Below are 25797 nucleotides of genomic sequence, written 5' to 3'. Positions count from 1 at the left end.
TTGTGCAAATTCTATCAACCTCATGAATGAGCCCAGGTGATCGAGAAGAGGAACTGCCCAGGTAGCCCATGGGACTGTGAGAAATAATAAACTTCTGTTGTTTTAAGCCACTTAGTTTTGGGAGTGTTTTATTATGCCACAAGAGATAACCAACACAGATATTTATATCTATAAAAGAGAGGTACTGTCTTAAAATACAAAACCCAGGGTATTGACTTTGGACTGGTTGGTGAGCAGAAGCTGGGAAGGCAATGAAGAGACTGCTGGTGAAGGCTCGAAGAGCAGAAAAGAAATTGCTGTTGGAATCTAGAGAGAAGTGAACCTTGTTATTCAGTGGCAGAATTAACTGGCAAAATTGTCACTTGCAGTAACATAGAAGATAGAAAATATACCTAATGGAGCTGTAGATACAGTTCAGGAAGTTTCCAGGTGGAATGTAGAACAAAATGTCAACTGCTTTTTAAGCTACATATGACAAAGTATGGGGAGAAAACAAATAAAATGAAGGAAAAACTGCTCCGTTTGTAAGCAAAATTTAGAGATAATGTAAAGATCCCGGGATGTGCTGGGTTAGAAAATAAAACTATTTTAACATTTTTATTCTTTCCAACCAGCAAAAGAGTCTCATAGGCCTCAGCATAAAGATCAAATCAGGGCGGACACAATAACTAACACTTATAAAATCCCAGCCCTTTGGGAGGCCAAGGCAGGTGGTTTGCTTGAGTCCAGGAGTTTGAGACCAGCCTGGGCAACATGATGAAATCTCATCTCTACAAAAAAGAAATGCAAAAAATTAGCCAGGCATGGTAGCGCACACCTATGGTCCTAGCCACCCGGGAGGCTGAGATGGGGGGATCACTTGAACCTGGGAGGCAGAGGTTGCAGTGAGCTGTGCTTGAACCACTGCACTCCAGCCTGGGTGACAGGGTGAGACCCTGTCTTAAAAAAAAAAAAAAGTATGGTTGTACAACCCTTTATTAAGACTCAAAAATATTTGAGGTGGTACATAATAGGCCCTCTCAGCTCGACAAAAAAATTTCTAAGAATCTCAAGGGCATTTTCCCACAGAAATCTAAGCCACTCAAATTAGAGCAAAGCTTGTTTGAAAAATAATGGATGTGGCTTTTGAAATATGAAATGAATCCAATCAGATTCGCAGGAAACCCATGAAGTTTTTGAGATAATCGCATTATTGAGAGTACCACAAGCTTGAACTGGTGACATAGTTCAAATCAAAAAGAAGCCTCTGGGGCCCCAGTATCCTATAGTCAGGAGATAGGCTGAGAAAGCTACTCAGCTGCAAACATGGGCATTTCTTAGGAAAAGGAAGGACTTCTCAGAGAGCAGAGCCAAGAATTCAGGTAGCAGAGCCAAGAGACATGGAGAACAATGGAATAGGAAGCCACCAGGAGTAATATGAGACCCTAATCAAGGAATATTTACCTCAGAGTAGGGGCCCTGGTAAAATGTGACCAGCTGGTTTTCAGAATTGCTACGGACTAATGGCTGCTATACGCCTCCTATTCCACCCTCTTTTGTCTACTGTGGTTATTCTGTTCCTGTCTTACCACTGTTTGTTGGGTGTGGGGGGTGTTGATAATGTATCTTTTTGGCTCATTGGTCTCTGAATCAGAAAGAGTCCCAGCTGGTGAACCTGAACCACATCTAGTTCATGTCTTAAAATCCTAGACTTCAAGTGTGATGAGATAATCAGGATGAGATTTTGGGGTACTGAGATAGGGATGTATTAGTCCGTTCCTACACTGCTATAAAGAACTACCTGAGACTGGGTAATTTATAAAGAAAAGAGGTTTAATCGACTCACAGTTCCACAGGCCTAACAGGAAGCACAACTGGGAGGCCTCAGGAAACCTACAATCATGGTGGAAGGCAAAGGGGAAGCAAGCACCTTCTTCACATGGTAGCAGGAGAGAGCATGAGCGAGCGGGGAAGTGCCACACACATTTAAACCATGAGATCTTGTAAGAACTCACTATCATGATCCAATTACCTCCCACCAAGTCCCTCCCCGAACACTGGGAATTTGGGTGGGGACACAGAGCCAATCCATATCAAGGGGTAAGAATATCTTGCATGTGGGAGGAATGTGAATAATCTGTGACCAAATAGGAACTATGACAGATTGTTTAATAGCCAAAAATTCCTCCCATCTTAGTATGCACAAAGGTGGAATCTATTTCTCGACATCATTTGGTCTGGGATGGTCTCGTAACTTGCTTTGATCAATATAATGTGTGCAAATTCTAGAGTCTATTTCTCAAGAGGTCTTGTGGCTTTTATCTTCGCTTTCTGAAAATGCTGTCCTGAGACCACAATGTAAGGAAGCCAGTCTAGTCTACTGGAGGATGAAAACCACGTAAACCAGAGTCAAGGAATCCCATCTGATAGCCAGCATCAATTGCTAGACATTTAAGTGACTATATCTTAGACATGGAATTCCACTGACTCTCCACCTGAATGCAGACACATGAGTGAGACCAGATGAAGCCCGTAAACAAACTTCCCAACCAAAATAGAATCATAAAAATTAAATTGTCATTGTTCAAAGTCACTTTGTTTTTGTGTGGTTTGTTATACAGCAGTAGATAATGGAAGCAACCCTACTCTTACAGATCTTGCAGTTTGGTGGAAAAAATGACAAGTAAACCAGTAATAACAGTAAAAAGTGATGATCTTTATAAGAGGGAAGTATAGGAGAAGTATGGAAGCAATAGCAGGAAACTATAGCCTCCTTTAGCGGGGAGATATTGGTTGAACAGAAGAAGAAACATTATCCCTGATATCTAAAAAATAAGGTAGAGGGAGTGGCATCTGCAAAGGCCCCAAGCTAAGAAAGAACTCAAGGAAGTTCAACATGGCTGTCACATTATGGGAGCTTAATTAAAGCTGGTTGGATGAATAAATGAATGAATATGTACCAAAGCATCATGAGTATATAATCCTTAAGGATTACACTGTAAAGTGGATTATGGAATTATATTCCAGAAATGTTTATATTCATTTTAGATATATATATTTTTTGAGACAGAGTCTCACTGTCACCCAGGCTGGAGTGCAGTGACGCAATCTCGGTTCACTGCAACTTCCGCCTCTCAAGTTCAAGCAATTCTTGTGATTCAGCCTCCTGAGTTGCATGCACCACGATGCCTGGCTAATTTGTATATTTTTAGTAGAGATGGAGTTTCGCCAAGTTGGCCAGGCTGGTCTTGAACTCCTGGCCTCAAGTAATCCACCTGCCCCAGCCTCCCAAAGTGTTGGGATTATAGGTGTGAGTCACTGCACCCGGCCTGTAGTCATTTTATGTATACTTTTCTGTAGTTGTTCTTGGCTAGATTAATGAGTGGCTCAATAATAATAGTTACTGAAAACCTATGATGAGTTATGGGCTATAACAAGTACACTACATGAATTATTTCTATCCATAGCTACCTTGTGGTGTAGAAAGTATACCCTCACTTTATAGCTAAGGAAGTTAAGGTTCAAAGAAACAGATTGAACTGTCCAAGCCCTGAATTCAGTAATCATGAAGTTCCAGAGCCCCTTTCTGAGAAAGTCCATAAGGTCAGGGCTATTTTCATAATAATACGAAGACATTATTTGCCTTTTTCACTGTGTTGGCATTTGCACTTAGATTTTGGGAAAGCTCCTACCGTTCTCTAACTTATAAGAGTAGCTCAGTGTGTTTAAATTGCTTCGTGCAAACAATAGGGTTCGTGCTGCACACCTTTCCTTCTGGGAGTCTGGAATTTTGGCATATGCTAGGCAGAGGGTATCTATGTGACTGACTCCAGATAAAAATCCTGGAGTCCTAGGTTCATGTGAGCTTTCTTTGTCAACAAAAGATTGTCTGACTGGTTGTTACAATTTATTGCAGAAGGAATTAAACGTGTTGTGTGTGACTCCACTGGGAGAGAGCCGTTGGAAGCTCGTGCCTAATTTCCTCTGGACATTGCTCCATACACCTTTTCTCTTTGCTCATTTTGCTTTGTGTCCCTTTGTTATAATAAATCCTAACTGGGAGTACAACTATATGCTCAGTCAAACTAGTAAATCCTCCAACCTCACCAAACCTGGTGGTAGTCTTGGGGATGGGGATCATGGGGATCCCTGACACACAAGTAAACTCTAAATAGGATAAACTGCAAAAAGCCATGCCAAGACACATCATATTAAACTTCTGAAAGCTAATGATAAATTTTAAGATCTTGAAAGCAGCCAGAGAGAAATGACATATTACCTAGGACTGTTACTGAGAAACACCAATTTGAATGACAGTGGATTTCTCATCTGAAACCATGGAAGCCAAAAGGAAATGGCACAATATTTTTCAAGTGCTAAAAGAAAAGAACTGCCAACCCTGAATTCTATATCTGGCTTAATGATTCTTCAGGAATCAAATAAAAACATTCTCAGACAAAGGAAAACTGAAAGAATTTGTTGCTAGCAGACATACCCTTAAAGATTGGCCATAGAAAGCTCTTCATACAGAAAGGAAATGATACAAGAATCTTAGAGCATCAGGAAGGAAGAAGAAACAACAGAAGAGCAGAAATACAGGCGGGCGCATAAAATGTTATTTCCTTTGTGAGTTTTATAAATTGTATTTCATGATTGAAACAAAATTTATAACACCATCCGATACCTAAGCAATGAAACGTAAAAGTGGACAAAGTGAATGGAAGTGAGGTTTTCACACTTCACTCTAAAAAAGAAAAGAAAACAAAAAACCATAAATCAATCAAGATAGAATTTTTAAAAATGCTGAAGTAACCTACAGGAAGGGAAAAAAAAGAAAAAGAACTGAGAACCAGAGGAAACAAGTAGAACACAAATCATAAAGTGGCGGTCCTAGGTGCTAATATAACAATTATCTTAAGTGTAATTGGTCTAAATACACCAATCAAAAAAGCCCACAGTCCATGGGCCGGCAGAAGATGACAAAGGCAATACACCTACCATTTGGCCTTCTGGAGTTTGTTCCCTGCAAATCTGAGGAAACATGCTGCTCCTTCTGGAGGGCTCCGCCTAGAGACCCTCCTGGAGATCCTCTGCTGTCTCTTGGCTCAGGGCCTTGGGCCACGTTGCCAGCAGGAGGCTGCTTGCTGGGGGCCCGGCTCTGCCTGCTGGGCACATCCTGGGTGCTAGGCAGACAGGGAAGGGCCTGGGGTCTGCAGGAATCTGGGCTCCGCCTTCCTTTTTGCTGTTCTGCCTCTTTTCGTTTGTTTTCTTCCTCTCGCTTTCTGGAAGCAAAGCCAAAGAAGAAGATGAAAAAATTTAAAGAGTATCACCTCCTCAAGTCTCTGTGTGAGTTTAAATTTTAAGAGGAGCTACTACATCACAGGAGATATTTGGAAATTTGCATTTTCCAAGAGCAGTCTTTTCTCCAGATAAAATAAAAACCATCTCTTTTACACCAGGCCTTATAGCCCAAAAGATGATGGAGCAGAAAAGTTTATAGATCAGTCTTTGTGCTGTTGAGACACATGACAGATAACCAGGCAACTTTTCTGTGTGAAACATAACACACTCCCAACGGTGTATGTGCCCCAAGCTTATGTGTGATCCCTGGAGCTACCTGTAACTCCACCCATTTTTCTCCTGTTTCAGAAAGCACACCAGAATGCTACCGAGAATGACAGTCAAAGGGATAACCTTGAATCTGCTCTATTCATTTAAAAAAGCCCATCAAACCTTAATGATCATATAAAAAGTCACTTGCAAAGTACCTTGCCAGTGATTAAAACACACCTGTGAGTTGCAGATGCTGCCGTTGACAGCTCTAGCTAATGAGTCAGATCCACTCATTTTACAGATGAGACCCAGAAGGTAGGGTGATTTTCAAAAAGTCACACATAAGTAGCTGGTGGCAAAGCTGGAACCCTTGGGTAGCAGGAGAACAGAGAAGGGCTGGGGAGCAGGGGCCCGTCTAAAGATGAGTAGCTGGGCGAGGCAGGTGGGTCTGAGGTGGCTCAGAAAGGTAGCCCAGGCCCCTAACTCAAGACAAAGGGGCCGAGTTAGGGGCAGGATTTGTTTGACCATTGCTGTTAACTTGTAGGGATTCCCAAGGGAAAGACAGGAGGAAAAACACTTAATTTCTGAGTCTCTCTCTGCTGGGCACTGAAGATACAGAAATGACAACCACAGATTTCAGGTCCTCTCCTGAGGAATCTTCTACCCAGAAGGGGACAGCCAGGAAAACAAAGACCTAATATATGATAGAAGAAATGTTATATTTTGTATTTATTTATCTTTTTAAAGACACGGTCTTTTACCTAGGCTAGAGTGCACTGTGCAGTGGTACCTTCTTAGCTCACCGCAGCCTTGAACTCCCAGGCTCAAGCGATCCTCCCACCTCAGCCTCCCGAGTAGCATGCCCCACCACACCTGGATAATTTTTAAATTTTTTGTAGAGATGGGGAGGGGGGGTCTCACTTTGTTGCCCAGGCTGGTTTTGAACTACTGGCCTCAAGCTATCCCCCAGCTTTAGCCTCCCAAAGGGTTGGGATTATAGGCGTGAGCCACCGCGCCCGGCTGAAAAGGACTTTAGTTCTGTGCTCCTCACACTTTATTGGGCTGAATCACCTGGTGTCTTGGTAATTATGGATTCCGACTTAGGCTAGAGAGAACTCAAGATTCTGCATTTCTAGCAAGCACCCAGGTGATCCAGGTGTTGCTGGCCCTCTGGCCACACCTTGAGTAGCCAGGCTTAAGAGCACAGGAAAGTCTAATATGGACTGTTCACTATACCACTAGATGGAATGAAACATACAATATGAAATGTGATTCTCCACAATGACACCAATTTTTTGTAAGGCCCACCTTGCTCACACATGAGCATGCCTTCTTTATAGGCAACCTGACAAATTGCAGAGCTAAGGATCAGACACAGAAGCATGAGACAAGGCGGAGACCCTAAGCCTCCAAGCAGTCATAGAATCCAGACTGCTATGGACTACGGCATTTGAAGCAAAGCTTATTTAGATCTCAAGCGACAGGAAAGCCCCAGCTGACATACATCTGGGTTACATTTTGATTTACAACCTTGTCAACTTGTTAAATTCCCCTTCTGAAACTCTTTCTTCCTGTATGGAGTAGCCCCTGATCTGGGGTCCAAGCTTGCTTATATAATAGTTTTCTACTGAGTCCCATTACCGAGAACATGGCCAGATGGGTCGTGCTAACTCCTGTACAGCTCTAGTGTTTTTATTTGACTCTGGTTTTGTGACATCTTTGCCACCTGCTAATGACTGTGGTCTACAGGCCAGCCGGACAGCCTGTCATCTCGGAGCCTGAGATTCATACGGATGCAAGCAGGTGCCATTTCAGTGTGATCTCTCTGGGACAAGGCTGCTTTTCAGAAGAAGGTGGAAGCATCTGGGTGGCTGAAGTGCTGCTAATAGATTTAATAGCCTTGCTCCAGGAAGGCAGAGGAAGTGCTGAGCTTTTTATCAGCACCGATGAGCAGGGCTGTTTTAAGAGAATGATATTGGCTCTTTAGACAGACACATGTGGGTGGCTGTCTGGGTTGGCACCTATATGGATCTCACTGCCATTAAGGGGGACTCTGAGGTGATAAATTAGACTTTGTTATTTGAGCAGTCTCCTCTTTCTTTTTAGGAAACCCAACAGCTCTCTTGTTCAATTCCAAGAAGCCTCTCTGTAGCCAGCCCCGGGGCAAACCTTATCACTGCAAACCTTTCTGGGCCTTCAACAAAGGCAGCCACATGAGGAACAGGGGATCCAGCCTTTTAAAGTGATCAAGACATCCAGAAAGCAAGAGGGCTTTGGCTTCTGGAGATTGCTTTGGAGGGGGGATACCAGGGGGGTGATTTTTCATTTTGGTAGAACTACGTAAGCAGAATTAGGAGACAGAATGCAATCATCTGAATGAATAATTAGCCCCTGGTCTTACAAATATAATTAATGTTTTTTAAATTGATGCATTTTGCATTAAAAAAATCTTCTAGGTGGCACATGGCCCACAATTGTGAAGTTCTTCAGACCAGTGGTTCTTTGATGTAATAGCAGTGATCACTGAGAAAAAACGGAGTGGGATTAAAACTGGAAATTATGCATAACTTGTATCCTATTTTATCTATATTGCTGCCTTAAAACTAAAGCAGCAGCAGCAATAACAACAACACACACAATTCAGCTTCTGAGAGTTGAACGTGACCCCACATATATGTCTCTCCCTGGGGAAAAGGTCCAGAACCATTGCTCATAGTGTAAGAGTTTGAAGAAACCAGTTTATTGAGGGTGACACCCTCATTTGGTAGATAAGAAAACAGGCAGAGAGGTAAGTGACTTACCCAAGGCTGCATGGTAAACTACAGACAGAGCCAAGATAGAACGCAGCTGCTTTATCTCCTGGTAAAATTCATCCCCATGACAGAATTGTTTTTAAAAATTTCACCTAATCTTCTTCCATTATTTAAAAAATTAATTGGGTCATACAAAGAAGCTGGGGATGCCACTTCAAACTAACCATTAGCAGCATTTAAAAATGAGCTTTCTTTTTTATTTTTATTTTTAGAAACAGGGTCTCACTCTGTCACCTAGGCTGGAATGCAGTGGTGCAATCATAGCTCATTGTAACCTTGAACTTTTAGGCTAATTTTTAAAAAAAATTTTTGTAGAGACAAGGTCTCCCTATGTTGCCCAGGCTTGTCTTCAACTCCTGGCCTCAAGTGATCCTCCCACCTCAGCCTCTCAAAGGGCTGGGATTACAGGTGTGAGCCACCACACTCAGCCATAACTAGCTTTCGACGTAGTGTTTAGTCCTTAGCTCTTAGATTCAATAATTGTCCTGAAATTTAAATGTTTTTTTCTTAAGTTATGATGAAATGTCAAAGATCTTTAATCATTAAGGTGTGCTATGTTATAAAGATCTATTTTACTTGTAAAGTTTAGAAAAAAAATCAGAAAAAGATTATTCTAGTTGATATGAAAAATTAAAAAAAGTTCTATGACACAGCAAGCAACATTTCTGCAGGAAAATTATTAACATGGCAGAATATTAGTGGATAAACTAGTCCCACCTTTCACTCTCTTTTTTTTTTCCTACCTACTATGTGAAGAGAAATTGGCTAGATGACAGCTTCTAATGGGCTTCCAATTTAGTCTGGTTTGTACTGTCTCTTTTAGAGCAATTTTGCAGCTCTTCAGAGGCTTACAGGATAAGAAAGTGAGAAAGTCAACTGGGGATCAAATCTTTGACAACATCTATTTCAGGTCCTGTGCTCCACAGGGTGAAGAGGAGTTTCCAGACTATCAGCTGATGGGACTGGGGCTGTCTACCCAGGGAAGAAAAGATTTACAAGACACAACGCTGCTTCACATTGCTGGAGGGCTATTGTGGGGCAGAGATATTCCCCCAAAGCCCCCTAAAACCAAATCTAAGACCCACAGATAGAAATTTTTACAAATCACTAGCCTGGATGAAAATTTAGCAAGAAAAGGGCTAAAAAGAAGGTGAGTGATCAGAAATTTTAACAAATTTTAACAAAAGCTGATCAAGGGCAGTAACTTAAATGACTTGAACGTACGATGGTTTCAGCATCTCAGGAGTGGATGTATTTGTTTGCACAATATGGCAAACTCTCGACTCTGGCCCTGCACAGTTGGAGTTATGGAAGTTGATATTTTTTCTACCCCACTATGTGCCTTCTAAATACTGCGACCCACAAGAGAGTTCTATTTGCCCACTTTTGACACGAAGAAATTAATTCTATCAGACACTGCAGAACCAGGCAGGCTCTTTCCCATCCCATGAATATTCAGGTTTCCATTGCCATGAATACAACACCTAGTGAGGTCTGAGAGATGTGATTAAAATGCTTCCACAGAAAAGAGAAGTCTAGTTAGTGTGTCCTGTCATACTGATTTAACCCAGCTTTGCCTAAATGCTGCCATTCTAGTTAATTGTCCTGGTGTAGGCTAGGGACCAATCAATATTTGTAACTTTCTCAAGGATTTAGGAGAATATTGGTGTGCTCTGTTCTGTTAGTTTTGAGGGTAATAGGAAGAGCGTTATTGAATTATATTATAGAATTGATAATGGTGGCTTGGCACCACTCTCTTAACAACGAATGGGATCAACAGTGGCATAATTGAATGATACAGATGGTTATTCAATCAGATGGTTGCTAGCATCTGGGGACAGCCTCTAGTATGGGCTTGGCTGGTAGAAGGATTCCCTTGAACCAAGTAATGGTAGGTAGCTTGGCCTTGAGACTTAGATTCATGTGCCATCTCTCTTCCTTACTAGCTGTGTGACTTCAGGCAGGCTAACCTTTGTGTGCCCATCTCCACATTTATGAAATGAGATTAAGGACAGCTGTCATGTCTACTTTTTAATATTTATCTATATTTGTAATATCTAAAATCCACATTATTCAATCCGGCTTCCATTTCTTACGGGTATGTTTTTGGTTCCTAGAGACAAATTAACGTCAACTATTTGGCTAAACTTCCTTATATCTTCTAAGCAAGAAACGGTATTTACCTGCATTTGTTCTTCCCAATATTCTCTAAATCTGGCAGGGATAAGACTTGTAAACAGTTTGAGTCTAAGAAGTTTACAGAATCATGGTTTCATGTTCAAGTATGGACAGCGGTGAGCCCCTTTGCTCTTTCTTTTTAAAATCAGAACACAGACTGTTATAATCTGTCAAATGATAATTTTCTCATGACCAATATTCAGGGAGTTGGAAAACAAAATGAATATGTAAGTGTCAAAGAGCATTGTGAGGATGAGTGGTATATAATGTGTTTGCTGCCTTGAGCAAGGCAAACAAGTTAAAGTTCTACACTTACGGAGAGTCACGTATAAGAACTGAAAGAAACCTAAGAGAGTATTTGGTCTAACCCTTCCGTTTGACAGATGGGGAAACTAAGGCCTACAGTGATCAATGGCTTATGTAAGGTTTTAGACCCTTTGTAGGGGAATTTACTGAACATTTATTTATTGAATGCTTACTATATACCAAACATTCTAAGGTACTAGAGATGTGGAGGTACATAACACACAGTCCCTGTTCTCAAGAAACTGACAATCGAGTCAGGGAATCAGACCCATACACTCCTGCCAACAGTGAGTTCTAGATGTGATGAGTGCTAAAGGAGAAGTAACTATATAGGGCTATGGGAGGATGTGGGAGACACTCACTAATTAAACGGGGAGAAAAAGGCTGCATATGAAGAATGAGAGAGGAATAAACTGAGAGGTTATTTCAGGCAGAGGGAGAAGTATGCATGAGCAGAGACTCAGAAGAGATCTCAGAGACCAGCTCCTCACATAAATTTTTTTTTTTTTTTTTTTTTTTTGAGACAGGGTCTCTCTCTCTGTCTTCCAGGCTGGAGTGCAATAGTGTGATGTAGCTCACTGCAGCCTTAACCTCCCTGGCTCAAGTGATCTTCCCACCTCCCTAGTAGCTGGGACTACAGGTATAAGCCACTACACACTGGCTAGTTTTAAAATTTTTTTGTAGAGACGTGGTCTCACTATGTCTTGAACTGCTGGGCTGGTCTCAAACTCCTGGGCTCAAGCGATCCTCTTGCCTTGGCCTCCTAAAGTGCTGTGATTATAGGCATCTTCACATAATTTAAAAAATTCCTTATATACGATTGTGGAGAGATGATAATTCCACTTCTGTTGGATCATTTCCAGTGAGAGGAAAATATTACCTCATGAGACAAAAAAGATTTAGCTCTAACCTTTTCAGTTGGTGTTGCATGGTGTCTAGGGGTTTGTCAGATTTTTATCTCTTCATTGTCACTGAATAACAGGCATAGAAATAGTTGATCTTTAACTCCCTCTCAAGGGAATAAGAAAATGTCGTGTGTCTTAGGACCTTTGACTTACAGAATGTTAGAGCTGGGAGGGACGTTAGAGATCATTTAGTCCAGTGGTTTTTGTCTTTTTGTGTGTGACTCATGGACCCCCTTTGGAGAATGTGATAAAAAAAAATCTATAGATCCTCTCCCACGAAATGCATATGTGCTCCTGACACACAAAATGCTGTGTACAATTTCAGGTACCCATGGATCCCTGAAGCCCATCTTGAATTAAGAAAACCTCTTTCCATTTTACTGATGAAAATCTGAGGCTCAGAGAAGTGGAATGGCATGAAATAGAACTATGGAAGTAATTCCCCATGGGCCAGATGACTTTGTGAGCAGATGAGTCAGACACATGGGCCAACCATTAACAATCTGGTGATGTTCACGGGAGCATTGACTAATTACCAAGTGAAAAGGAGATGAGCAGTAGCAATGGAAGTGTTATGAGCAGTTTTTTAAAAATCTGAAAGTTGGTTTATGAAAAAGGATTTAGATTTTTCTCTTTGGCTTCCAGGGGTAGCTTCAAGACCAAAGGGTAGAAAAGAACTTTTGCTAGACAGAGCCCTCCACTAATGGAATATGCTATCTTGAGAGGTACAGGACTTCTTGCACTTGACTTTTTGGGGACACAGAACAATCTCTCGTAGAAGGGACTTAAGCATCACAAGAGTTTGAACTGGGTTACCAAAACTGGACGTGACGATGAAACTCTTAGAAACATAATCACATATACTAGCCAGGAAGGAGCTCAGGTCTCCCAGTAAGTGAAGTGAAGAAAGTTCAGGATGGCTGAGACATCAAGTGAGAGGGTGGTGGTAGTGGAGAGAAATGAGACTTAGAAATGTAAGTGGAAGTGAAAGAAATGTTGAAGGATCTTACAGAGCACCATGGCTGGTATTTAAGAATGAGGGGGCTGGGCGTGGTGGCTCATGCTTGTAATCCCAGCTCTTTGCGAGGCTGAGGTGGGTGGGTTGAGGTCAGGAGTTTGACACCAGCCTAGCCAACATGGTGAAACCCCATCTCTACTAAAAATACAAAAATTAGCTGGTCGTGGTGGCACACACCTGTAATCTCAGCTACTTGGGAGGCTAAGGCAGGAGAATGGCTTGAACCCAGGAGGTGGAGGTTGCAGTGAGCTGAGATCGAGCCACTGCACTCCAGCCTGGATGACAGAAAGACTCTGTCTCAAAAAAAAGAAGAACGAGGGTTTGTATAGAGTGGTGGTGGCACAGAAGAATGAAAGCAAAAGGCTATCAAAGGGGGAATGCATACAATCAATGGTAGCAGCACTAGCAAGCACATAAAAAGGCCAGAAGAGAGACAGACTGTGGTGATGGGCTGCTTGCATTTGCATGTCGGTGTGTTGCAGAGTCTGAAGTTATAGTGAAAACAGGACATGCAAATGGAAACGTCCAATGATCTAAAGTGTTGGCAAGTGACAAAAGCATAGCAGAAATGCCCAGTAGGCAACTGAAGATATGAGATTAGAGTTCCAGGAGGTCAGGATGTGAGACAGATTAGGGGGCTATCTACAGAGATGAATTAATTTAAAATTTAAGAGTAGATACATTTTCAATGGAAAAAAGTATAGCATGAGCAGAAGTCTAAAAAGTTTGCCTTCAAGGCTGACTGCAGTGTGGAGATGGAATAATTTAAAAGATGTGAGAAGGGAGAATCAGAGAGTTACAGGAGATCTGAGATTTGAGTGAAATAAGAACCTGGCAAAAAGGGAGCTTCAGGGAAGAAGGGTGATCAACATAAATATGGTTTTATTTTAGTGTACACTCAACCGTGTGCTTTGGCAGGTAAATTATAGTAATGTTCATTTTGGCAACAACATAGGCAGTGCAGTGTGAATTATAAAGTGCTTTCAAATTGATTATAGATATTCCTTAAATAGCATTTTCTAACATTACCTGTCTTAGTAAATATCGCTATAACTTTTTCTCTCCCGGTTTCTCTTTCAGTAAATTAGAAATCACTTTACTTAAGTTTAATAAGTGCCTTTCACATCCTCATTTTGAGGAAAATGATTTCTGCCATCCTAACATAATAAACTGGGAAAGGTACACCGAGGTGACATGCTGTGCCTGGGCCAGCTTAGTCAATGAGGCAGCAGCAGCAAGGACTGAGTTTAGCATCCTGATGTTTGTTTCTTCAAGCAAGAATTAAACGCAAAATTAAACACTGACTCAGATTTTAAGAAATAACTTTTGAGAAATAGAACAAATGAAATCAGTTTCTCCACCACTTAAGTATATCTCTTAGAGATCTACAGCCTCCCTTTAGGGGACATACAAAGTCAGTTGTGTTGCCTTTGTTGAGTCCCACCTTATATTCAAGTAGGTATGACTACAAATTTTGAAAATAGATTGTCACACAATAAACTGGAGTTTATGGAAACATCAGTAGAAGGAAATACAACATTCCATCCCTTTACAGAGATCATTTACTTGCAACTCAGGATAATTTGTCATGTGTATTATCTACTTATGCTTGCCACTCACATGCAGAGAACTTTTATAAGAAGGCTGGAAAAAGAGGGGTGTAGAGGCTTTATGTTGATACTGGATTCTTTGGCAAAAGTGAAAGGAAGAGGGCATCATTAAGAGAAGAGTACAACATAGTATTTCCTCGGATGCCATCTACTTCAGTAGCTTTAGAGTCACAGAAAATGGTATGTTTCTCTATTTACTGAAGGCTGACATGATGATTAGCATTCCAGTACATAGTGGTATTTAACTTCTCATTAAAATGACTTATCTTGCCTCTTATTATTACTTTTAATGATTATTTAGTACACTTATGCTTCCCCCTTGTGGGTAAGATGTAGGATTTAAGAGTTAGAAGGACTCAAGATTTAGAAACATTCGAGATACAGCCAGGAAGTTATCTTTCAAGAATCTGCCCAGGCTGGGCACAGTGGCTCATGCCTGTAGTCCCAGCATTTTGGGACGCCAAGGTGGGCAGATCACTTGAGGTCAGGAGTTCGAGACCAGCCTGGCCAACATGGCAAAACCTCATCTCTACTAAAAGTACAAAAATTAGCTGGGTGTGGTGGCACAAGCCTGTAATCTCAGCTACTTGGGAGGCTGAGTCATAAGAATCGCTTGAACCCGGGAGGTGGAGGCTGCAGTGAGTGGCGATCATGCCACTGTACTCCAGCCTGAGTGACAGCGAGAGACTGTCTCAAAAAAAAAGAATCTGCCTGTCCACATCTTTATCATCAGAGTTTTTGGTATCTGTATTTGCTAATGTGATGCACTGCTGCTATTTGAAATACTTCTACCCAACATATCTATCAAAGAAAAGGCAAACCTAAGTATAATCTAAAATCAATCTTTTTTTTTTCTTTTTTTAGACAGAGTCTGACTCTATTGCCCAGGCTGGAGTGCAGTGGTGCCATCTGGGCTCACTGCAACCTCTGCTTCCCAGGTTCAGACAATTCTCCTGCCTCAGCCTCCCGAGTAGCTGGCATAACAGGTGCTAACCACCACGCCCAGCTAATTTTTGTATTTTTAGTAGAGATGGTGTTTCACCATTTTGGCCAGTCTGGTCTTGAACTCCTGACCTCAAGTGATCCGCCTGCCTTGGCCTCCCAAAGTGCTGGGATTACAGGTGTGAGCCACCGCACCCAGCTTTAAAATCAATCATTTATGTGAAATAATCAGAATGTGCAAGAGGCACAGACAGCTATTTTGTATCATCGTCCAAAAAAAATGCGAAGTCCTTGAGGCAGGGGGGATTTTGCTTTTTTAGTTGCCATTTTCTCTCTGGGCTCTAGCCAAGCATTTTGTCTGTATAGTAAGAATTCAATCAATATTTCTTGAGTAAATTACTTTATTTAGTACAGATGTGTTAAGAAATGGGTGAAGGAAAGCTGGGTGCGGTGGCTTATGCCTGTAATCCCAGCACTTTGGGAGGATGAGGTGGGTGGATCATTTGAGGTCAGGAGTTCAAGACCAGCCTAGCCAACATGGTGAAACCCCATCTCTACTAAAAATACAAAAATTACCCGGGTGTGGTGGCGCGCGCCTGTAGTCCCAGCTACTCGGGAGGCCAAGGCAGGAGAATTGCTTGAACCTGGGAGGTGGAGGTTGCAGTGAGCCGAGGTTGTGCCACTGCATTCCAGCCTGGGCGGCAAGTGAGACTCCATCTCAGAAAAAAAAAAAAAAAAAAAAAAAAAAAGAACTGAGTGGAAAAAAAAACCAAGTTGTTTGCTTTAATCAAATTAAAACCAGACTTAGACTGGTCTAGTGAAAGTAGGCTAGATATTGGCATGTTTCTTTTGGAAAGAGAGGAAGGGTAAGAGGAGCAGTTATTTCTTTACAGCTTATTCTAGGAAGCAATCCCATCCCCAACTCCCTCCCATGGGTGGGAGTGGTTTGTCCCTGGGCTGAAACATTGGGACTAGTCTAGAGGAATCACTACCCAGCAGAGGTTAGGCCTCTGTCCTTCACTGCAGCCTCGGTTCCAGAAGACGGAGTGCTGAGAAGAGGGAAGATGACCGGTTGCAGGGACCAACAGTAATTCAGATTCTCATCTGTTTCCCTCTCCTGGCCACCCCAGCACCCCCCACACCCCCACTTCCACCCTGATTCTGGGTGGCGAAAACGCAATCTGCGTAGCTCATACTTACTTGGCAGCAGCATCTTTTCTCAACTGTTCATGCTTCATGAGGAGATTTTTCCTGTCTCGGAAGGCTTTTCTGACCTTGTACCCTTTGTAGACAGCTTGGATTTTGAAGGCGGCGATGTCTTGTATGGCTGCGATGGACAGGGCACCGTGCTCCAACATGAACTGGATCACTTCATGGCGCTCACCAAGCAAAGCATAATCAAGGGGTGTGTATCTGAAGTGGGAGGAAGATTTCTTTTTTTTTTAATTTTAGAATGTAATTTAAGGCACAGTTAAACTGAAAATATTATTATGCAGCAGAAGGAAACTTCATTCTAAGATGTGGAATATTCCCCAGGCAAAGCCACCTTCTCTATAACAGGGCTATTCTTTTTTTCTCCGAGGGGCACAAAACAAGGTTGACTATGACTGTGGGTCAGGTGCTTTGTGCTGCTAACCATGTCAGTTCCTGAGTTTTACTCCCTGGCAAACAAATAGGGGCCTATTGGAAAGACATGATCACTTCTCTTCTTTCCCATGTGCCAAATAATTCCCTGCCCCATCTAAAAAGGTAGTGAAAATATTGTGAGATTTGTAAATTTGAGCCCATGATTACTGACAGTTAATGCTTATGAAGTAAAAAACAGAACTCCAAAAGGAGAAATTCAGTATATGATAAGAATGGCCCTTTAAATTTCTGCAGAAAAGATGGATTACTAAATAAATAGTGATGGGACAACCAGGTAGCCATCTGGGGAAAAAAAAGAGATTCTTATAACCACATTTTATACCAAAATAAATTCTGGATAGAGCAAAGATCTAAATATTTTAAAAAGGAACCATGAAAGTACCAGAAGAAACCAGGAAGATTAAAAAATGATGTTGGAAGTCTTTTCTAAAAAAAGGATACAAAATTCAGAAACCATAAAAGGGCTGGGCGCAGAGGCTCACGCCTGTAATCGCAGCACTTTGGGAGGCCGAGGTGGGCAGATCACTTGAGGTTAGGAGTTCGAGACAGCCTAGCCAACAAGGTGAAACCCTGTTTCTACTAAAAATACAAAAATTAGCCAGGCATGGTGGCACATACCTGTAGTCCCAGCTACTCAGAAGGCTAAGGCAGGAGAATTGCTTGAACCCAGGAGGTGGAGGCAGCAGTGAGCTGAGATCATGCCACTGCACTCCAGACTGGGTGACAGAGTGAGACACCGTCTCCAAAAAAAAAAAAAATTTCGGAAACCATAAAAGAAGATTGACAAATCTGACTACATAAAAATAACAAAATTTTACAGAGTAAAAAAGACATCAAAGACAAAGATAACAGTTCCCAGAAGAGTACTAATAGCTCTTAACACATAAAAATGTTGAACCTCACTCATTTAAGAGAAATATGAATTAGACTAACATGAGAGAGTACCTTTCAATGATGATCAGATTTGCAAAAATCAGAAAAGTTAGTAACACACTGCACTAGCAAGGACAGAGAGAGTCAGGCTCTTTCATATACTACTTTAACTTCTAGGGAGGATGATTTGGCAATATTTATCAAAATTATTCATGTATATATGCCATTTGACATAGCCGTTTCACTCTTAGGAATTTATCTTATAGATCTGCTCTCATGTGAAATGCTTTATGTACAAGGCTACTCATAGAAGTACAGCTAGTCATAGCAAAAGAATAGAAACAACCTCAATGTCTATCAACAGAGGACTGCTTAAACAATGCACAGGCCATCCATATAATGAAGATATCTGTATATGCAGTCATTACTGCTATATATGAATAAATAAGAAACAATCTCCAGGATGTCAAATGAAGACAAAGAAAAAAGCAAGAAACAGGAGTTATTATGGCATGTTCCATTTGTATAAAAAATATATCCCTGTATGTTTATCTATGAAAAATGTATTTTCAGAAGTTTTCCAAGAAACTGCTAACAGTGATGCCTCTGGGGGAGGAAAACTAGCTGTCTCAGAGGCAGGGGTAGGAGGAACATTGAGTCTTCAGTGAACATCCTTTTAAATTTTGTACAGTGTATATACATCACTGTTTTGATAAATACATTATTTAGAAACGATGAATATTATTGTCATATTGTTGTATATTTGAATCTCAAATGGCAACTTTCTAGGTGTGCTGTTTTCGGCACATTCTTTTTTTTTTTTCTTTTTTTTTGAGATAGGGTCTCACTCTGTTGCCCAGGCTGGAGTGTAGTGGTGCAAACACAGCTTACTGCAGCCTCGACTCCTCCTGGGCTCAAGTAGTCCTCCTGCCTCAGCCCCCCAAATAGCTGGGACCACGGGCATGTACCACCAAGGCTGGCTAATTTTTTTTTTTTTTTTTTTTTTTTGAGATGGAGTTTTGCTCTTGTTGCCCAGGCTGGAGTGCAATGACGCGATCTCAGCTCACTGCAATCTCCGCCTCCCAGGTTCAAGCAATTCTCCCATCTCAGCCTCCCGAGTAGCTGGGATTACAGGCACATGCCATCACACCCGGCTAATTTTTTTTGTATTTTTAGTAGAGACGGGGTTTCATCATATTGGTCAGGCTGGTCTCGAACTCCTGACCTCAGGTGATCCGACCACCTCGGCCTCCCAAAGTGCTGGGATTACAGGCATGAGCCACTGCACCCGGCCAGTTTTTGTATTTTTGTAGAGATGGGATTTCGCCATGTTCTCCAGGCTGGTCTCGAACTCCTGAGCTCAAGCAATCCTTCTGCCTTGGCCTACCAAAGTGTTGGAATTATAGGTGTGAGCCACTGCACCCAGCCTATTCTTTTAAAAAAATTTCTTCATAAATTTTGGAAACATAAAAAATTGGGTAAATATACAGAGGAAAATAGCTATCATCCATATTCCCACCCTGAGAATTAACCACTGTTCATATCTGGGAGATACAATTTCCTTTTTTAAACAAAAATTACTACTTTGTCAAAATGATATAGATTTTATGAACTCAAAACACTGCAAAAAAAAAATTGAAGTAAAAAAAATCCCCCAAATTCTACCATCCAACAATGGTAACGATGACTATCACTTTTTAAACAACTTACTTTATATCTCTAAGCCTCAGTTTTCCTCATCTGTTAAACAATGTAATACGTTGCAGACTTGGCATGAGGAGAAAATGGAAAAATAAGTGTAAAGAGGATAGCAATGTTCCTGGTCCAAAGGAAACAGTTAATAAATGTCAGCTCTGATTGTTATTATTACAGGACATTCACTGCTGTATGGCTTGCAATACCACAGCTGCTTATCAAAAATATTATCTCCATAGGACCCAAACTAGTATCTATGACCATCCCATGACCACCACTGATGCTGATTCCTCTCAGGATGACTCTGACCAGCCAAACCCATAAAAGGTCTTAGGAAAAAACATCAGATGATTTATGAGGCAGAAAAAAGGATGATTATATGGATGCATGACTAGACATAGAAAATCATCTGATTATAGAAAAAAAATTATTTATCTTCAAAACTTACCTAACAGTCACAGTTAAGACATAAAAGGAAGAGGTTTTTCACTATAGGAGTATTTTGATCACTTTAGTAAGGAAACTGAGTTTGGGAAGAAACCCCAAACACTGAAATTAAGGAACCTCTATTTTAGGACAGCTTCATTTGCCACTTACTGTTCAGGGACCATCTGAGAGGCATCTACATAAACTTTAAAACATTATTTATAAGTGGATAACATTTTTTAAATTCAGGAGAATTAAAAAAAATTTTGCTACAAGTTCTAAAATGCCTTTCTTGACTGTACTTTCTCTAATGGAAAAAATTATCATAGAGTCATTAAACCATGCAATAGTAGAGCTAAATTGAATTTTAGAGGTCATTTAGTTCAATACCTTCATTTTATAAATGGATGAACAGCTCCAGAGAGGTTAAGCAACTTACCAAAGGTTATGTAAATTGTTTCTATAGAATGCAGACTAGAACTAAGATAACATGTCTCCCAGTTCAGTAACCTTCCACAACACATATATCAATTACTTAGTATGTTTCCTATAGAATAAAACTGTTTCTTAAATCAATGTGCAAACAACATACGTATTTGGTAAGTTTGATCATTTTTTCTATAATTATTAATAGGTAGTATCCTTCACATAATATATAAGCAGGATTAACAAAATTTAGTTTATAAAATATAGGGCCCAAATTATTCCTTTACCTACAAATATTACAAAAGGAAATAACATGTAGCTTAATATACCCTAAAGAATGCTGATCTGGGAGTCAGGGGACCTGTGTGACCCTGGGCATTCTCTTAACTTCTCTGGGCTTTTGTTTCCTCATTTGTAAAGAGAAGAACTAGACTTCTTAGGCTGCTTTTGGATTGAAAATTATATCTTAAATATTTTTATGTAAAAAAATATATTTTTATTATGAAAAATTTTAAGCATAAAAAAGGTAGAGAGAATAACATAATAAACACTTATACACTCAATACCTAAATTTAACAATTTTTTGCTACATTTGCTTCATCTAGACCCTTCCTTTTTATTTTTGCTAGAGTATTTTATAGCTAATCTCGGAACTCCTATCATTTTGTCAGAGGTATTGGAACCAGAGGACTCCATCTTGAGTGAGGGCTACGAAAATGAGGCTGGGGCTTGCTGGGCTGCATTCCCAGAAAGGTATTCCTAGCCTCTAGATGTTTACCGTTAAGGGAACATACTGATGTTTACTAAACAGACCCAGACTTGAGAGAGTCCTAATATCCCGATATCTGGAGAACAAAGGCATTCCTAATTTTGCTTTGAAGATAATAATATTGATTCTTGAAAAATGTAGTAATTAAGAAAATGAATCCTTTATCACAAACCCTTGTAGCACAGCACATCTCCCCATAATCTTTTTTTTAATCCTGTATATAAACAAGTATTGTACTTAGGGTGGATACGTTCCTCTCTTACTTTCGGGAACGCCCTACTCTGTCTATGGAGTAGCTGTACTTTCACCACTTTACTTTCTTAATAAACTTGCTTTTGCTTTGCACTGCAGACTCACCCTGAATTGTTTCTTGCGAGAGAGCCAAGAACCCTCTCTTGGGGTCGGGATCGGGACCACTTTCCTGTAACATCTTCATCTCTATGTGTTTAAGTATTCATCAGTAAATAATATGGGCATACCCACAATGTCATTATACTAACAAAATTAACAGGAATTCCTTAGTAAAATCTAAGGACCACTTCATAATCAAATTTACCCAATTTTCTCAAAAAATATATTTTTGTAATTGGTTTATTCAAATTAGGATTCTCAATTTTTTATTCAGAGACACAATCCAAATATCTAGCATCATTTTAAGATTGAAGTCTATACCCAGTATTTAAAACAAGTGTGATCATAAAACACATTGTGATTATTACTACTGAATCTTTTTTCATCCCAAATTCAATTTAGAAAAATTCAAATGCTGTGAATATTCCCATCAGGGTTGGGGTGAGTGTGTCAGATAGTTATTGACTGAAAGTCAGCAGAAGTTGGCAAAAATTATGTCTATACGTTGTTCATCAACTGACTAGTGTCAATGTATGAGAAGTAAAAATTAGCACTACACTGATGGTAACCAACCAAGAAACAATGTGGATATAGACAACAGACAAGATACAATTGGACCTGCCATGTGGGAATGGTCTGATGGGATGAGTAGAATGCCTAAACTGGAATGTCAATAAACGTAAAAGGCAGTGCCAAGTTCTGACATTTGTACATCAAGGTACATTGCTGATGAAACATTAACAAAGACTGAGTTATTGCCACTGTCTCTTTTTATCTATAGTTTGGCAAGTAAAGTTAGGAGGATTTTTCCTTTGGTCTTTTGGTCTGTAATTAACATATGTTTATTCCGGGAGGCAGTAAACACCTTAATTCATGCAGTTACTTAGGTCTCATATTCAAGGTTTAGCATATAAATGGAAATTGAGTTAAAAAATTTCATTGTTTCCTTAAAAATATAGCAGTCAGGCGGTAAATGCTGTTACACAGAATAAATTTTTATAGAAACAAAACAAGTCATCACTAAGTCTAAGGATTCTTAAACTTTCTTTTTTTTTTTTTTTTTTTTTTTTAGAGTTTCAAAGGGAGACATCTTCAGCTCTCCCTCTAATGAGGGAAGTTTCTGAAAGAAGTGGTAAAGGGGTTGGTTCTAGAAAACAGGAACATGTTTCCTCTGAGATGGACGTAGAGAAGTCCCTTCTCAATAAAGTTTTCCACCAACTAATAGAAAGAATGGGTGGTGGCTAAGAGGATGGGAATGGTATTATAGCAGGAGCCATTTTAGTTAGAGCATCCATGAAACATGAAAACTAACACAAAGACCTAGGTCAGAGGGATTGTCAGAGGCATGTGAACTCCATCTTAAAGAGGATCTCGTAAAATGAGGCTGAAAGCTGTTGGGCTGCATTCCCAGAAGGTTAAGGCATTCTAAGGCATAGGATGAAATAGGAGGTCAGCACAAAATACAGGTCATAAAGACCTTGCTGATAAAACAGGTTGCAGTAAAGAAGCTGGCCAAAACCCACCAAAACCAAGATGGAGACGAGAGTGACCTCTGGTTGTCCTCACTGCTACACTCCCACCAGCGCTGTGACATTTTACAAATGCCATAGCAAAGTTGGGAAGTTACCCTATAAGGTCTGAAAAGGGGAGGCATGGATAATCCACCCCTTGGTTAGCATATCATCAAAAAATAACCATAAGAAAACGGGTAACCAGCAGCCCTCAAGGCTGCTTTGTCTCTGGAGTAGCCATTCTTTTATTCCTTTCCTTTCTTAATAAACTTGCTTTCACTTTGCACTGCAAAAGTCGCCCTGAATTCTTTCTTGTGCAAGATCCAAGAACCCTCTGACGGGGTCTGGATCGGGACCCCTTTCCTGTAACAGGACCTCAGGTATGGAAGTGTGATCACAAACTCAGTTGTTACCTACAAATTATAAGAATCTTCCTAGATCTAACACCACCAAGAATCGCTATTCCTTAGACTTCACATTCTGTTTGTTCCTTTTTTTTTAGGCAGAGTCTTACTCTGTTGCAGAGGCTGGAGTGCAGTGGCATGATCTCGGGCTCACTGCAACCTCCGCCTCCTGGGTTCAAGCAATTCTCCTGCTTCAGCCTCCTGAGTAGTTGGGATTACAGGCATGTACCACCATGCCCAGCTAACTTTTTTATATTTTTAGTAGAGATGGGGTTTCACCATGTTGGCCAGGCTGGTTTCGAACTCCTGACCTCAGTTGATCTGCTCGCCTTGGCCTCCCAAAGTGTTGGGATTACAGGCGTGAGCCACCGCACCTGGCCTGTTTGGTCCTTTTTATTGGGCCTGGATTCTTGGTCAATAACCCTAATATAATTCTCCAGACCTTACATTATTCATGCAATCTGCATTTAGATTAAACCCTGAACTTTCATCTTAGCTTCTCCTTATGTTTTCATGCTACATGGTGGCATCTCTTTGTCTACTGACTGATAATATCCTCTTCATCAAGAGAAATCTCTGGAATATATAACACATTCCGCTGGCCTAAATGTACTCCTGGGCCCAGTCAATCAGGATTTCACTGACGTTATGTTAGCCAGAAGTCAGAAGCAGGACTAAAATTTTCTCATCTGCAAAATACATGCTTGCCCTAGGCAATAGATGAAATTCTGAAGAGCTATAAGATCCCATGATTCTAAATCAACATTGCATGAAAGTTTTGCTCTTCTATTCTGGCTCAGTATTTCTTAGTGTAATGTTTTATTATGAGTATAGTTATTATTTCTGAACAATATCTAACCTTGAGATTTAAAAAATCTGGTAGAAAGGATGTATGATAAAGAGCACTTTTTTTAAAAAAAAGTCAACAACTTGGCTGGGCATGGTAGCTCACGCCTATAATCCCAGCACTTTGGGAGGCCGAGGTGGGTGGATCACAAGGTGAGGAGTTCGAGACCTCCCTAGCTAACATGGTGAAACCCCATCTCTACTAAAAATACAAAAAAATTGGCCAGGTGTGATCGTGCATGCCTGTAATCCCAGGTACTCAGGAGGCTGAAGGAGAAGAATTGCTTGAACCCAGGAGGCGAAGGTTGCAGTGAGCCAAGATCGTGCCACTGCAACCCAACCTGAGTGACAGGGCGAGAAGCCATCTCAAAAAAAAAAAAAAAAGTCAACAACAACTTACCTCTCTTCATTGTTTTCCATCTGATTAGGGAAAGCAGCAAAGTCTAGCAGTAATTTAATGGCATCAAGGTATCCATTGTTGCAGGACCAATGCAAAGCTGTTCTTCCCTATAAGCATAAACAAAAATCAAGTACATCTGGAGTAAGTATTTTTGGATATGTGGTTATTTATGCTAATTCAAAATTAATATAAGCAATCATTTTTCCAAATTGCTTATTTACAAAAAGGGAAAATATTAAATATACAGTGGAGAAAGCAAATGATATTTGATCCAAGAGCTCATAATTAACACTATTTTTTTTTTTTTTTTGAGACGGAGTTTCGCTCTCGTCGCTCAGGCTGGAGTGCAATGGTGAGATCTCAGCTCACTGCAACCTCCACCTCCCAGGTGCAAGCAATTCTCCTGCCTCAGCCTCCCAAGTAGCTGGGATTACAGGTGCCCGCCGCCATGCCCAGCTAATTTTTGTATTTTTAGTAGAGACAGGGTTTTGTCATGTTAACCAGGCTGGTCTCAAACTCCTGACCTCAGGTGATCCACCCGCCTCAGCCTCCCAAAGTGCTGGGATTACAGGCGTGAGCCAACATGCCTGGCCAATTAAGGCTGTGATAAGGGGCATCATATATCTCCAGAGGTAATACCCTTAGAAGGATTCATATTACTTATGTAATATTCCAACCAAAAATGTGAAACCTGAATCTAATTATGAGGGAACATAAGACTAACACAAATTGAGTCAAATTCTATAAAATAAATGGCTTGTATTCTTTAAAAAGTTCAATGTCATGAAAGATAAAGAAGAGATGAAGCATTGCTAGACATAAAGAGGGACACTTCATAGTGTTAAAGGAGTCAAAAAGGAAGATATCACAATGCTAAACTTGTGTGCATCTAATAACAAAGCTTCCAAATATACAAGGGAAAAATCGACAAAATTAAAAAGGAAGATAGTCAAGTCCATAGTCATAGTGGGATTTTAACTTATCTTTTAAAAACAACTGATAGAGCAGACAAAAGAGCAGTAAAGATATATAAGACCTAAACAACAGACTTTGAAAAATGGGCCCTAAGTGATATATATATAAATAAAAAACACTGCATCCAACAAGGACAGAGTTAGTGCTCTTTTCACATGTACATAGAACAT

General features: G+C 40.5%; 1 protein-coding gene and 1 long non-coding RNA gene across 5 annotated transcripts in view, besides 2 other annotated features; one reads left to right on the top strand and one right to left on the bottom strand.

The window, feature by feature from the left end:
• INVS (inversin) overlaps positions 1-25797 on the bottom strand; it is a 202933-nt gene that overhangs the window by 12595 nt on the left and 164541 nt on the right. For all 4 annotated transcript variants that reach the window (NR_134606.2, NM_001318381.2, NM_001318382.2 and 1 more), the window contains 3 exons: positions 24653-24759; positions 16505-16717; positions 4978-5261 (listed from right to left, as the gene is read on the bottom strand). Coding sequence is in view for 3 of the 4 variants with exons in the window: in NM_001318381.2 (NP_001305310.1) it covers positions 4978-5261; positions 16505-16717; positions 24653-24759 (604 nt within the window). In the remaining variant the exon portion in view is untranslated. The remainder of the gene's footprint in view (positions 1-4977; positions 5262-16504; positions 16718-24652; positions 24760-25797) is intronic.
• Positions 4644-5144: an enhancer, noted in NCBI's record as "H3K4me1 hESC enhancer chr9:103046719-103047219 (GRCh37/hg19 assembly coordinates)". NCBI's record gives its function as "activates a minimal SCP1, AML or CMV promoter by ChIP-STARR-seq in naive H9 embryonic stem cells {active_cell/tissue: H9 hESC(naive)}" and the evidence as "EXISTENCE:reporter gene assay evidence [ECO:0000049][PMID:30033119]".
• Positions 5145-5645: an enhancer, noted in NCBI's record as "H3K4me1 hESC enhancer chr9:103046218-103046718 (GRCh37/hg19 assembly coordinates)". NCBI's record gives its function as "activates a minimal SCP1, AML or CMV promoter by ChIP-STARR-seq in naive H9 embryonic stem cells {active_cell/tissue: H9 hESC(naive)}" and the evidence as "EXISTENCE:reporter gene assay evidence [ECO:0000049][PMID:30033119]".
• Positions 5260-14639, top strand: LOC124902235 (uncharacterized). Its single transcript, XR_007061700.1, has 2 exons — positions 5260-9495; positions 12060-14639. It is a non-coding gene; the product is annotated as an uncharacterized LOC124902235 (long non-coding RNA).

Source organism: Homo sapiens, chromosome 9 (assembly GCF_000001405.40).
Source record: "Homo sapiens chromosome 9, GRCh38.p14 Primary Assembly".
In the NCBI taxonomy this organism is placed as follows: domain Eukaryota; kingdom Metazoa; phylum Chordata; class Mammalia; order Primates; family Hominidae; genus Homo; species Homo sapiens.
Note: the sequence above shows the minus strand (reverse complement) of the source record. Positions and strands in the feature narration are given on the sequence as shown.